Here is a 14818-nt window from a genome sequence, read left to right as displayed (position 1 = left end):
GTCCCATCAAGCACGGCCTCCTGTAGGAAGCCTCTGTGATGACCCAGTTGGGAGTCTGGACTCTTGGGCATAGATGTGAGCCTCTAGGTGACTGGGAATCGTGTGGGAGTCCTGGCTCCCCTACTGCATTTTAAGCAAACTCTGATCTTTGATTTTCCTCCATTCTTATCCCAACGACTCGGTCCATAGTCGGGGAGCGGCAAAAGTCTACTCAAGAAGGAGGGTAATGTCTATACTGCCAGGGAGGCACGATTCACCCGCTCAGACACCAGCCAGCAACGAGGCGCTGAGTCCAAAATTTCCACCTACACCGCGTGGTTCACGGGCCGCACCTTAACTCCTTTTGACTCCAAACCCAAAAAAACTCGATAGCGTTTGGACTCGGCAGAAAGCCTGCTGGCTGCAATCACAGGATACGTTTCTGGAAGTCTTGAGGCGCAGCCTCTTTCTTCACCCTCCACGCGGCGAACTTTGACGCGCATTCGGTGACCGGTCCCCAAACATGACTTGGCATCAAGAGGACACAGCTCCCCTTACCGAGGGAGCTCAGGTCCCGGGCGCGCCGCGGCCCCGCCAGCTTTCCAGGCTGGCTCAGTCCTCGACCCGGGGTGACGGCCAAGCCAGCCAAGGGCAGCGGGAAAGTGACGCTGGGCTGGAGAGGTGTGGTGGCGAGTGCGGCCCCCGGGGAGCTAAGAGCAGCCGCAGCAACTGGGTCTCAGGCTGGGCGAGGCAAGGGCTCGTAGGCTGGGCTCGGAAGACTGAAAGGGGTGCCCACCTGACTCCAGGACGCACGGAGGGCGTGGGGCAGGAGCTGGACCTGGGCCGCCTCGGGCCGCCCCGGGGCTTGCAGTCCAGCCCCTCTCCGCCCTAGGGAGGGAAAAAGGGAGGGGAGAAGGCCGAGCCCGCCTCCAGCCCCAGCCCCAGCCCCAGCGAGGCTCGGCGGCCGCGGCTGCTGGAGGGAAACCAGAGGCACCTCCCCGAGCGGAGAAACCAGTTTGGCCGGTCCGGCGGAGCGGAGGCAAAAGGGCGGCTGCAGAGGAAGGGTGCACGGACGCGGGGCGGGGAAAGGCGGGGGAGCCACTAGCGAGCCGCGAGAGCCGGAGGTGCCGCCGCCAACTAGACACGCTTCCCCGGGCCCCCGGCCAGCCCCCGTGCGCCATGCAGCGCTAGCGCGGCGGCCAGGGCTGGGGCCGGGCGGGCGGCGGCAGCGGCCAGGTGCGCAGCGAGCGCTCCGAGCGGCGCGCACCAGGCGGATGCCCCAGCCGGGGCCCAGCGAACGCCAGGTAAGCAGGGGTGCGGCGCCGGGGGCCCCCAGACCTTCCCAAGCCCCTTGGCCCGGCGGTGTCCTGCAGGTTCCCTGGCCGCTCCCGCCGCACTTTGGAGATCCGGGATGCGGCGGCAGCAGCTGTCAGCGCCCTCGGACTCCCGAGCCCGCACAGGTGGGATTTGGGTGGAGGTGCTGGGAGCCCCCGAGGCCTCGGGGACGGCGAGACACGGCCGGCTGGGCAGGCAGCGCTGCGGAGAGTTCCGTGGGGTTTTCACCTGCCTAGAGGAGGGAAATCTCGGGGTGTTTGGGTTCTTCGATCGGTAGCGACACACATGTCCGGGGGTTAAGCCAGGTAGGGCTTGCGGCTCCTTGGGGGATGCCGCTGGCTCCTGTGCGGTGGCTACCGCCCCTCTGGAAGACCCCGGTGACCGGGTCCTGCTGGGGCGCTCTTTGGGAGCAGATGCCAACGTGTCCGAAAAGGACTTGCGGGCCAAACGTATCTGACCGCGGCCCACCTGCCGGGAGGGATGGAGGGGGTGAGATCGCTCTCCTCCCCAGCTCCTGTGGCAGGGCCAGGTACTCCCAGACATCTTCCGTGCGCTTTATTGTGGGATGGGGAGGGGAGGTGATGGGGAAGACCGACACCACTGTTTTTCCGGTGACTGTCGGGTCGCGTCCGCCAGCCCCGCTGAGATGGCTGCAGGCATCTCCTTCCCTCAGCAGTTTGGTGCCCTGCGCTGTCACCTCGCTGTGTGCACGAGGAGGGGCAACTTGTTGGGGGGCGCGGGGAGATGTTGCAGAGAATGGCCCAGTGCTTTAACACCCCTCGCCCCCACTTCTCCAACTCCCTCCTTCTCCCCAAAGTGAAAGAAAAGTTCTGAAGTGTCTGCCCAACTTTTCCGACGGAGGCGTGTGCCTGTGGTCCCTGCCGGGGGTTGGTGGCTGGTTGCGGGGGGGGGCGGTGCTCGGAGCGCAGATCCGTGACGGTTGTACGGGGGAGACTGGATTGCAGTAAGGATGCAAATTGGGGAAGGGGGATTGACACGCAGAAGTAAGGAGGACTTGGGCCGCGCTTCTGCCCGGTGAGTACCCGCTCAACCCTACCCGACCCCCTTGGCCTGCACGCGCTGCCCTTGGGGGCTGCAAGCTCTTCCTGGGTAGCTCCAGACGCCGCCGAGTTCCTCTCCCGGAAACTGGCCTCCCTGTTGGCGTGAGAAAATATTCGCTCCCATCTTCCTGGTTGCATTGCCTTCAAAATTTTGCCACTACCCATGGGAAACTAAAAAAAGAAAAAACTAGTGGGATGTTTGGAGATCACCCGGCACACGGTAGGTTATCGATGAAGGTTAACTGCTTTCAGGAACAAAAGCTAAAAAAAACCACGCGTGATAAAGCCTCCAGGGATAGTGAATACGAGCCCGTATATATGGGGGACACGACAGCAAATGTGAAGTAGAAGCGCTAATTTTCGTCCGCTAAGGAATACTTTTGTGTTAGACCTAAGATGCCGTTCATTAATTCTGGGCCTGTTGTTGAAGGCTTTATTAAACCCTATTATAAATGCGCAGACTGTGCACAAGATGATTAATGCTTATTAGCTGATTACTTTCTGGGGGAGAAGTCACGCCTGCCTGCAGTTAACTCCTCTGAATTCTCTTAATGATTTTCATTAGGTGGTGGAGTTTTCCTTGCTATAATTTTGGGAAGGAACATTAACCACTTTGTTCATTCGTCGTTTTCCAGTGGCTGTATTTTAGTAACTTTTAGTGATTCTTTGCGTGGGTTATTAAGGGCCGAGCAAGACTCTTTTGGTTATTACTGTCCAACACAGATGCCACCTGTGTGAGGTCAGCTCTGGCTGCTTTCAAGTTTTCCTTATGGATTTTAAGGAACACACACACCTGTGTGCACATGTTATTACATCCTAGTGATAGAACTGGGAGAGGTTTTGTTTTGTTTTTTGTTCAATAGAAGTTTAAAAATAATAATGTGGTACAGCAAATGGCTTCGCAAAAAGAAGTCTTCGGTGGTAAGGCAAGTTCAGGACTGATTTTATGTTTAATCTGATTTTCAGTCTAGGGGATCTTAGTGCTAATGGAGTCACTACCAGATCTGGCTGTAGAATGTTCTTTTCCTTTCCTTCCGTCCATTCCTCTTTCCTCTTTCTTTTCCATCCTTTTGAAGCAAGGAGTAGTGGAAAATATAAAAATGCCCACAGATTTCAGTTCTTTTCCTTATTAATTGTATAACCTTAAATGAATTCTTGTTTTCTGAACCTCTGTTTGCTGCTCTGTTGAGGGGAAAAGATATTATCAATCTCTTTGGATTGTTGAAAGAATTAAATCAGAGAACATATGAATGTTCTTTATATATAGTCAGTGTTTGAATGTTGGTTTCTTACTTTCTTTATTAGATTGATATCTAAAAATACTATTATTGCAGGTATCTGGTATATTTTTAAGATTTTATTGCCTTATGAATTAAAATTCCATTTTAGTTTTTTATAAGCAACATTCACAGAATGCAGGTAATTCTAACAACTCCAGAGAGATTTTTCCTAGTTACCTTTGCTCTTTAGTGTCGGTTACTGAAAAAGAAACCGATGCACTCATGAATGCAGAGGAACTTGCTTTTTAGGTACCAGAACAAGTTGTTTTTTAAAATTTTTTATAAATAAAATACATAGAGACAGGGCCTTGTTATGTTGCCCAGGCTGATCTAAAACTCCTGGCCTCAAGCAATCCTCCTGCCTTGGCCTCCCAAAGTGCTGGGATTACAGGTGTGAGCCACTGTGCCTGGCCCCAGAACAATTTATGTCCCAAATCTCTCTAAAAAGAGATGCCTTTTAAATTGCTTAAGCACTTAATTTTAGAGTTTATTTGTACACTTGGTTCTAGTTTAGTCTCCTGGAAAGTTTTTCTTAGTGGTGTCTTTAGGTATCTTGTGAGTTTTCAGGTCTGTTGACATTCAGTTAGATTAATTGTATTCATGCCTGTAGGTTTTTTGTTTCTTATTAAGTAAAAAATTAATTTGCTGCCAGAAGAGTGTTAATACCATAAAAAGAAGACAGGTTATATTTTTCATTTTGTTAACCAAGTTACTCCTGAATCCCCATTCCCATGCCCAGCTAAAAGTAATACCTAATCTAAGATCTTTTGAGGTCCTCTATCACTGAAGACCTGGTATTGTTTAGGAAGATTCTGAAAGCATATATATGTGCATGTATGTATATAGATATGAGCATGTCTATATACGTGTGTATATGTATATATTAGTCTTGTTTCTCATTTTCTTTTTTTTTTTTTTTTTGAGACAGAGTCTTGCTCTGTCGCCCAGACTGGAGTGCAAGTGGTGTAATCTCACTGCAACCTCCTCTTCGCTGGTTCAAGCAATTCTCGTGTCTCAGCCTCCCGAGTAACTGAGATCACAGGCGTGTGCCACCATGCTCAGCTAATTTTTGTATTTTTAGTAGAGACGGGTTTCACCATGTTGGCCAGGCTAGTCTCAAACTCCTGGCCTCAAGCAATCCACCAAAGTGGCCTCCCAAAGTGCTGGGATTATAGGCGTGAGCCACCGCACCCGGCCTCATTTTCTTAAAAAACAGATAACTTTTTATCATCTGAATCTTTAAGGCCATATTGGTACTTTCTTTGATACTTATAAATGCACTGCACTTTTAAATAAATTGTTGCCCAACCCTTCCACAATGAGAAATATGTTTCATAACTGGTCCCTGCAAGCAGTCCAGAGGCAGCAGTGAAACAGAGGTTGCCAGCCTTGGAGTCTTTTGACCTGGGTTGGAACGCAGGCCTCATAGCTTCCTAGGTGCATAACCTAGGGCAAGTTACCTTGCCTCTCTAGGCTTCAGTTTCCTCATCTGTAAATGGGATAATAATAGTATGGCCTCACAAGGCTGTGTGATGAGTTCCAAATGAGATAGCTTAGGTAGAGGACTTAGCACACAGTTCAGTAAAAGGTAGTCGTTAATACATTGTTGTGTTGTTGCTATGACTTTGTAAATATCACTCACCCAGCCATTGCCTTTCTCCTGGGCTATGTAGGAAACAGGAATCATTCTACAAGTTAGTATTTATTTAGCAAACATCAGTGCCCATTTGCACCAGGCACTGGAAAGATAGAGTTCCCCAGAGCAGGGGCAAGGTTCTAAGTCTCCGATCTACACTGTTGTTCTTAAGCCCTGGTGGCTCAGAGGACCAGAGTGCTCATTTGCCTCTTAACCTTGCAGGAGAACTCGTGAGGGGGCCTGGTTGCTGTCTCACCTGCTACCTCTTCCTGCACAGTAGAAGCCCGTGGAATGCTCCTGAGCCCCCTTTACCCATCACATCAGTTGGTCTTTTCTCTCCCTCATCCTCCACGCTCCTGTTTTTCTATTTTTAACTTTATTTATTTATTTATTTTAGACAGGGTCTTGCTCTGTCACCCAGGCTGGAGGGGAGAGGCATGAACATGGCTTGCTGCAACCTTGACCTCTTGGGCTCAGGTGATTCTCCCACCTCAGGCTCTCAAGTGGCTGGGACCACAGGTGTGCCATAGTACCCAGCTATTTTTTTTCTTTTTTTCTTTTTTCTATTTTTTTTTTTGTAGAGACAGGGTCTCACTATGTTGCCCAGGCTTCTCCTGAACGCTTAGGCTCAAGCAGTTCTCCTGCCTGGGCCTCCCAATATGCTGGGATTATAGGTGTGAACCACCATTTCTGACCCACACTCCTGGTTTTTTTGTTTGTTTGTTTTGTTTTTTAATTACTACCTGTTTAAAACTCAACAGTTTCTGAACCCTGTGGCTTCTTGAAAGGCTCATTGCTCCCTGTGTGGTTTTCTTAGTTGTGGATCCTGGGTAGGCGTTGCTAATGACAGAGAACCTTGGTATAGCTCCTTTCATTCATTCATCTTTAGACTATGCTGGGGGAATTACCTCTCTGCTTCATGGAAGTCTGTGGGGTTCACAGAGGGCCTGAGTTGGGTTTCTTCTTTGGTGAGAAAGCAGATCAGAGGCCTGGCGTGGTGGCTCATGCCTGTAATCCCAACACTTTGGGAAACCAAGGCGGGTGGATCACGAGATCAGGAGTTCAAGACCAGCCTGCCCACATAGTGAAACCTCATCTTTATTAAAAATACAAAAATTAGCCAGGTGTGGTGGCATGCGCCCGTAGTCCCAGCTACTCAGGAGGCTGAGGCAGGAGAATTGCTTGAGCCTGGGAGGTGAGGTTGTAGTGAGCTGAGACCTTGCCATTGTACTCCAGCCTGGGCGACAGAGTGAGACTCCATCTCAAAAAAAAAAAAAAAAAAAAAAGAAAGAAAGAAAGCAGATCAGGTGTCTGCTCTCTTCCTGCTTGGGACCTTGTCCCTCTTTGCATGGAGGGATGGTTTCTTTAGGTCCTGGGGGATAGCCCAGGCCACTTCCACTCTGAAGATCTGTGTTCTTTATCAGTCTTTCAATCTAGTATATTTGCATTTAATAGGTGACAAATGGGCCTGGAAGCTGTGGTGGGGATGGAGTGGGAAACCAGCTCTCAGTCTGACATTGACTCCTGGAGGGGAGGGTCACCTCTGTTCCTGGGCAGCCTTTCAGTGGCGAAGGCCACCATCCCCCACAGCGTGATTGAGAAGCCTGGCACTTCTGCAATGAGTACTGTGGAGCCTGACCTTTGGCTAGTAGCTTGGTCTTTATTGACAGGGCTGTCATTTATGGCTTTGTTACTTTGTTGCTGAGTGGCTTTTGTTCTACTGGAGTTGCGGTTTGTTTGATTTAGTGCAGGTGGCTTTTGAAAACAGTTTTCTAACCTTTATTGAAATTGAGTTGCACTAGAAAATCCTCTTTGGAAACCCTCAGGCACCAAATACTGTCCTTCACTTAGTATCAGAATGTATATTCTTGCTGTTCAGGGAAGCTTCCATGGATTGGATGCACTATTTATTTTATAGAGTGTGGTGTGATTCATGTACACATCCTTATTTTCTCTTCCTGGAACTTAGTGAGTTACTGACATGATCCTCTGAGATTTCTGTGCATGATCTGTAGATCCAGAAGGAACACTTAACATTTTCTATAAGAACATAGCTAACACCTGTAATCCCAGCACTTTGGGAAGACAAGGCAGGCAGATCATGAGGTCAAGAGATCGAGACCATCCTGGCCAACATGGTGAAACCCTGGTGGCACACGCCTGTAGTCTCAGCTACTCCAGAGGCTGAGGCAGGAGAATCGCTTGAATCCGGGAGGCGGAGGTTGCAGTGAGCTGAGATTGCACCACTGCACTCTAGCCTGGTGACAGAGCGAGACTCTGTCTCAAAAACAAACAAACAAACAAACAAACAACAGCATAGGTAACCCTTTGGCTTGGGTGGTTTAAATATTTACTCACTTGGGGAGATGGGTAGGTTTTGTACATTTCATGCTGGGAAATAATGCCCCTATCTTTATATTGAAAAATTAAAGTGTGAGTCCTCTAAGTCAGGCACTAGTAGCTGCTGTATCAACCTCCAGTTTTTTGTTGTTGTTTTTGTTTTTTTCATTTAGAGGCAGGGTCTCAAGATATTACCCAGGCTGGTCTCGAACTCCTAAGCTCAAGTGATTCTCGCCTTAGTCTCCCGAGTAGTTGGGAATACAGGCATGTGCCACTGCACCCAGCAACCTCCAGAACTTTTGTTACAGTAAGGACTCCAAGTGTGTGAAGTTCATCAGGCTACAAAGATTGTAAGAATTAAAAGAAAATCTGTGCTCTGATTTGTACCAGTACAACTTTGAGAGGAGGAGAGGTTCCTTATGATCTTGTCTTCTTGGTGTAGAAGTTTATTTCATGGGAGTTTTTAAATTTTTTTATTTTTTGAGATGGGGTCTCGCTCTGTCATGCAGGCTGGAATGCAGTGGTGCGATCTCAGCTCTCTGCAACCTCTGCCTCCTGGGTTCAAGTGATTCTCCTGCCTCAGCCTCCTGAGTAGCTGGGATTACAGGCATGGCCACCAGGCTTGGCTAATTTTTGTATTTTTAGTAGAGACAGGGTTTCACCATGTTGGCCAGGCTGATCTTGAACTCCTGACCTCAAGTGATCTGCCCACCTTAGCCTCCCAAAGTGTTGGGATTACAGGTGTGAGCCACTGCGCCTGACTTTTTTTTTTTAAATGTAAAATATACATAACATTGACCATCTTGATCCTTTTTCAGTGCACAGTTCAGTGGCATTAGGTACATTCACATTGTTGTGCAACCATCACCACCATCCACCTTCAGAACTTTTTATCATCTCAAATAGAAACTATGCCCATGAAAGAGTAACTACCCCCTTCTTCCTATTTCCTGGTCCCTGTAACCTCTATTCTGCTTTCTCCATGAATTTGACTATTCTACAGTACCTCAGGTTAAGTGGAATCATGCAATATTTGCCCTTTTATGACTAGCTTATTTCACTAGTGTAATGTCCTTAAGGTTCATCTATGTTGTAGCACAAGTCAGAATTTCCTTCCTTTTTTAGGGCTGAATAATATTCCATTGTATGCACATACCACATTTTGTTTACCCATTCATCTGTGATAGATATTTGGGTAGTTTTCACCTCTGGCTACTGTAATTTTTTCAATTAAAAAAATTTTTTTTAAGACAAGGTCTCACTCTGTTGCCCAGGCTGGAGTGCAGTGGTGTGATCATAGCTTACTGCAGCTTTGAACTCCTGGGCTCAAGCCATCCTCCCGCTTCAGCCTCCCAAATGTCTGGGACTACAGACACTCACCACCACACCCAGCTAATAAAAGAAAAAAAAAATGTGTGTGTGTGTGTCTGTGTGTCTCGATATGTCGCCCAGGCTGAACTCCAGGGCTCAAGCTAGCCTCCTGCCTTGGCCTCCTAGTGTTGAGATGACAGGTGTGAGTCACCATGCCTGGCCCACCTCTGGCTATTGTGACTAATGCTGCCATGGACCTGGGCATACACATATCTGTTTGTTCATGTCAGTTTTTGAGCCCCCCTTATTCAGTTTGGTAAAATGTATCCTTCATAAATAAGATGGGCAGGGCCACGTATTATAGTATTTATTACCATGCTTTCCTCCAGAGTAGCATGGAAATAAGAATGCAGGGAATGTGGGAGGAGGGTGTTGTTGAAGACACCTGAAGGCAGCACGTGCCTCTCCTTTTCACCTGCAGCTGCTCTCACTGAGCTGGCAGTCATATGCCATTCTTTCTTTCTTTCTTTCTTTCTTTCTTTCTTTTTGAGGCGGAGTTTCGCTCTGTCGCCCAGGCTGGAGTGCAATGGTGCAATCTCAGCTCACTGCAACCTCAACCTCCGCCTCCCAGGTTCAAGTGATTCTCCTGCCTCAGCCTCCCAAGTAGCTGGGATTACAGGCACGCACCACCATGACCGTCATATGCCATTCTATCATCCAACTGGTCTGTGCTATGGGTGACTCTTTCCTCTGTGTCAGGGTGGGTGTAAAAGCCCCAGGGTTGTGGCCCTACTATCTGGCCATCTCTGCTAACCACAGCCACCTTCCAGAGATGACATTCCATAGAATTGACTTTTTTTTTTTTTTTTTTTTTTAATGTCAGGTTGTTTTTCCCCTTAGGGTAGAATCCATGGCAAGGCAAAAGGTCAGTTACAGACTGTAGCATGGCAGAGTTATCAAATGTTCCACCTCTATAATAATGTGCTTATAGGTGTCCTGGTATAAAAATCAGATGCCTTTATGTAATAATTAGACATCAGTCTGTTAAAGACACCTTAATCTGTAGTTTCTAGAGAACAATAGACTCTCATATGAGTTTATACTCACACTGTGCCCTGAAAATTAGCCAAATAAGGATTTACGTGTTTAAAAAGCAGGTTTTTAAAGTAAAACAAAACAAAACACACAAAAACTCATCAAAGCTTGAAGCCAACCAAAAATACTACTATCCCTACGTGTCCACCCACTTTCCTATTTAATGCCAACCACAGCCACAAAAAGAATACTGGGGTTAACATGGTTAATCTCTTGGCGATCTGATACTTTATTTGTCTAGTTCAGCTGCATTAAGAGCATTTAGACTTTTGTTATCAGTCTTAGGCTTTCTCTCCTTCTGTAGAACAACATGAAAATTCTTAAAAGTCAATTTGAGAACCTTAGGCTGTGAATGGTGATGTAAGTAGCAGCTAACATGCCCTGAATCTTTGAGGTCACTGGGACCGAGAGAATGGGAGGGCAAGGGTGCAAGCTGCCATTGTAAATAGAGTGGCCAGTGGAACCTCCTTGAGAAGGTCATATTTGAGCAAACACTCAGGAGGAGAGAGGGTGGCACAGGAAGTTTTGGGGAAAGAGTGTCCCAGGCAGAGGGGACAGATAACTTGCTGCAGAAGCCCTAGGGTAAGAGTGCTTGGCTTATCTAGCTGTTCCTCCAAAGAGTAAGTGGGGGAGGGAAGGAGAAGAAGGAGGTAAGGGCAGAGAGGAAGGGGAGCCAGGTCTTGCAGGGCTTGCCAGGCTATGTAAAGACTTTGGCTTTGATTTCTTGGAAGATGGCTCAGTGCAGGACATTGCTCCTTGGAGTGGTGTGATCTGTGTGAAGACCAGTCCAGGCAGAAGGCTCCCAATCCGGGAGTTCAAGCAGGAGGCAAAGCCAGGCAAGTGAGGGTGGAAGCTTTTCCCAGGGTGGTAGTGTCCGCCAGGATGGTAGCTGTGGGGCTGAGATGTCAGATTCTTGAGAAAGACAGAGGAGAAAGGACACAGAGAGAATGGGATCGGACACAGGCATACGTGCAACTTTTATTTTGATAGATCGAAATGCCAACAGGACTTCCGAACAGATGGGATGTGGGGTGTGAGAGAGAGAGGAGCCAAAGATAACTTTCTCAGCAGAACCTGGGTCGCAAAAGGAAATCTGAGTTTCAAAAGCTGGAAATTCGCTGGGCTGTGTTCAGATTGCTTGCAACTAGGTTATAAAGAGCCTCCTCAGAAACATACATATAAGGCTTTGGTTCAGAGAACTTTGTGTTTACCATCAGCCTGTCTTCCTAGTTTGGGGGAAAGAACATTGTTAGAAAAAAGAGGCGGTTTTCAGGAAGCAGAGGACTTGACTTCATTGACAGGAGGGCGGTCTGTAACCCACAGGCTGTCCTGCCAGGGCTGCTGCTGCAGCTATTGCCACTCACAAGCCCCTAGTCCCCCTCCCTATCCTGTTTGTCTTTTGCCTAATTGGGAGGTTAAGCTTTTTCCAGCCACTCCCCATCTCCATACACATGGATTTTTTTGTTTTAAACAACTATATTGAGATCTAAGTCATGTACCATACAGTTCAGCCTTTTAAAATATACAATTCAATGGTTCTTAGTATATTTACATAGCTGTGCAACTGTTGCCACAATCTACGTCAGAACCTTTTCATCACCCCTAACAGAAATCCTGTACCTTTTAGCTCTGCCTGGTTTATCGCCTTGTCCCCGCAGCCCCTGGCAGCCTCTCATCTACCCTCTGCTTCTGTGGGTTTGCCGATTCCGGGCATTTTATGTAAATGGAATCGTATGATATGTGGTCTTTTGTGATCATCTTTTTACACTTAGCATGATGTTTTTCATGTATATTACGGTCGGGTGTGGTGGCTCACACCTGTAATCCCAGCGCTTTGGGAGGCTGAGGTGGGCAGATTACTTGAGCTCAGGAGTTCGAGAACAGCCTGGGCAACGTGGCAAGACCCTGTCTCAATTCTTTTTAATTGTAAAAAAAAAAAATTAATAAAATTTCATCCTTATTGTATTATTTGTCAATACTTAATTTCTTTATATTGCCAAACACACTAGCTACTGGTGCACGTAATACATCCTTCAAAAAAAGCACAGGCCATGGAAATGTGTGCTAGTTGCAAATAGACTGACATGTTATAAAAGGAATGTTTTGTGCCCAGAGAGCTACAAATATGTGTGTGTGGATGTAAGTATGCATTGGCTCACCTTCACAATTGATTACATGGTCCACAGTGACTCTAAAGACAAGGGGCCTTCAGGTGGCCTAGTGATTTTCTTTCATTCAGTGATTCAACAATTACTTATTAAATACCCACTACGTTGCCAGGTGCTGGCAGTAAACACAGTGAGGAGCAAAGCAGACATGCCCTTCCCCTCAGGGAGCTTATGGGGTTGTTGAGAGTGTGATGAGAGATAGAGACTAAACAAAATATTGAACAAAAGAGATATGAAACAACTTGATATTAGAATTATAATCTGTGATAAAGGCCTTAAAGAAAAATAAGATATTTCTAAGAGAATAATGAAGACCTACTTTAAAATGGCCTAGGAGTAACCCAGGCATCCACCGACGAATGAATGAATAAACAAAATTGGTGTACCCATATGATTAGGATGTTTCTCAGCCTTACGAAGGAAGGAAATTTTCGCTGAGCACGGTGGCTTATGCCTGTAATCCCAGCATTTTGGGAGGCCGAGGCTGGGGGATAACTTGAGGCCGGAAGTTCAAGACCAGCCTGGCCAACATGGTGAACCCCCGTCTCTACTAAAAATACAAAAAGGTGCAGTGGTGGGCACCTGTAATCCTAGCTACTCGGGAGGCTATGACACAAGAATCGCTTGAACTCAGGAGGCGGAGTTTACAGTGAGCCAAAATTGTACCACTGCACTCCACCATGGACAGCAGAGTGAAACTCTGCCTCAAAAAAAAAAAAAAAAAGAAAAGAAAAGAAAAAGAAAAAAGGAAGGAAATTTTAATACATGCTACATGGATGAACTTTGAAGACATTATGCTAAATGAAATAAATGAGATGCAAAAGGACAAACAAATATTTTGTGATTCCACTTATATGAAGTGCCCAGAATAGTCAAGTTCAGAGACAGAAAACTGAGCAGTGGTTGCCAGGGGCTGGAGCCAGTGGGGAATGGAGAGTTAGTTTTTAATGGACCCTGAGTTTCAGTTTGGGAAGATGAAAAATTTCTAGGGATGGGTGGTGGTAGCAATTGCAGAATCATGTGGATGCACTTAATATCACTTAGAAGGCAATAAGGCCGGACGCGGTGGCTCATGCCTGTAATCCCAGCACTTTGGGAGGCCAAGATGGACAAATTGCCTAAGGTCAGGAGCTCGACACCAGCCTGGCCAACATGGTGAAACCCCATCTCTACTAAAAAATACAAAAATTAGCCAGGTGTGGTGGTGCGTGCCTGTAATCCCAGCTACTCGGGAGACTGAGGCAGGAGAATTGCTTGAACCAAGGAGGCAAAGGTTGCAGTGAGTGGAGATCGCACCACTGCACTTCAGCCTAGGCAACAGAGCAAGACTCTGTCTCAAAAAAATAAATAAAATAAAAGTAGTTAAAATGGTAAATTTTATGCTTTGTCCATTTTACCATAATTTAAAAAATGGCCCAGGGAGTGGGGTCTCTTGAAGGAGGTTATACTTAAGTTGAGACCTAGAGGATAAGAAAGTACCAGTCAGGGGAAGAGTGGTCCAGTCAATGGGAACCGCATGTGCAAAGGCCCTGGGGTGGGTGAGAGCTTAGTGCTGTGCTCTAGGAATTGTGAGAGGCCAGAATACTGGGTGTGACATGATGCTGGGGCTACCATGGGATAAGGGAGGCAGGCACCAAACTGCAGAGAACCTGATAGGAAGTCACTAACATTTTTAAGCAGCGGCGTGATGTGATTTGATTCCTGGTTTTGTTTGATAATCCAGAGACTGCGATATGGGGAATGGGTTGGTTGTTGGTGGGGGATGGGGGTGGGGGCAGGGAATGAGGCCAGAAGCAAGGAGAGGAAATCTGGGAGGCTGCTGCAGTGTCCATGAGAGAGAGAGGATGGGGGTTTGGGCCCGATGATGGGAGTGGGGATGAGAACTGGAAGGTAGGAGCCGCACTTCACAAGGGGAATCCTGGTCTTGGTGATGGGTTGGATTTGAAGATGTAAAAGAAGAGAATTGTTGACAATTCTCAAATTTCTAACATAAGCGACTAAAGGTGATGGCATCACTGAGACCAAGGAGTAGTTTTAGAAGATGAATGTAGCTTTGATCATGTTTAGTTTGAGTTGCTGGGACACCTAGGTGTGGTCGGGGGTCAAGCATTGGTGATTCAGAAGTCTAGGTTGGAGACACAGTTTTGGGAATTGCAACATAGGATTGGGTTTAAGGAGCTGTTTGGGGATGCTGGAAACGCTTCGGAAGCCAGTGCTTCCTATCATTGGTATCAGCCTTTTAGTTTGCACTAATTTATGTAAAATAATCCACTATTTTTTGGCAACAAAGTATGTACATGTGAGCAAAAAAAAGCATTTGTGCAAAGTCACAAGCCGTGCTTTATGGACAAAGATGACAGGGTGGAGGGCTGATACAGGGTTGCCTAGTGGACAAGACCACCATACATGGCTCAAAACGTTCTCAGATGTGGGAAAGGGGCGCTTTGTATGGTATAGGAACTTGCTAAAGCCAGGGAATTTCTTGTGGAAAACCGACTTTTAAAATTGGCTTGTGTGGCCTGACTTAAAAACCAAATCACTCTTTTCATGTGTGTAGGGTAGTATAACAAAGTGGTGCTGCTTTTGTGCTCAATGTACTGTATTTCCACATGT

The 14818-nt window shown here is 47.1% G+C and overlaps 1 protein-coding gene across 8 annotated transcripts in view, besides 1 other annotated feature; it reads left to right on the top strand.

Annotated features, from left to right (window-relative positions):
• Window positions 709–1346: an enhancer, noted in NCBI's record as "H3K27ac-H3K4me1 hESC enhancer chr18:55470167-55470804 (GRCh37/hg19 assembly coordinates)". NCBI's record gives its function as "activates a minimal SCP1, AML or CMV promoter by ChIP-STARR-seq in primed H9 embryonic stem cells {active_cell/tissue: H9 hESC(primed)}" and the evidence as "EXISTENCE:reporter gene assay evidence [ECO:0000049][PMID:30033119]".
• The window catches only part of ATP8B1 (ATPase phospholipid transporting 8B1), a 156890-nt gene continuing 143037 nt past the window's right edge, over window positions 966–14818 (top strand). For 5 of the 8 annotated variants that reach the window (XM_047437547.1, NM_005603.6, NM_001374386.1 and 2 more), the window contains exon 1: window positions 966–1283. The gene's annotated coding sequence lies outside the window, so the exon portion shown is untranslated. Of the gene's footprint in view, window positions 1284–2256; window positions 2350–2448; window positions 2596–14818 lie in introns of those variants that run through there. The other 3 variants (XM_047437543.1, XM_047437542.1, XM_047437545.1) reach the window with 3 other exon arrangements.

This window comes from Homo sapiens, chromosome 18 (genome assembly GCF_000001405.40).
Source record: "Homo sapiens chromosome 18, GRCh38.p14 Primary Assembly".
NCBI classification, from domain to species: Eukaryota; Metazoa; Chordata; class Mammalia; order Primates; family Hominidae; genus Homo; species Homo sapiens.
The sequence above is the reverse complement of the archived record's forward strand: the minus strand, read 5'-3'. Positions and strand labels throughout refer to the sequence as shown.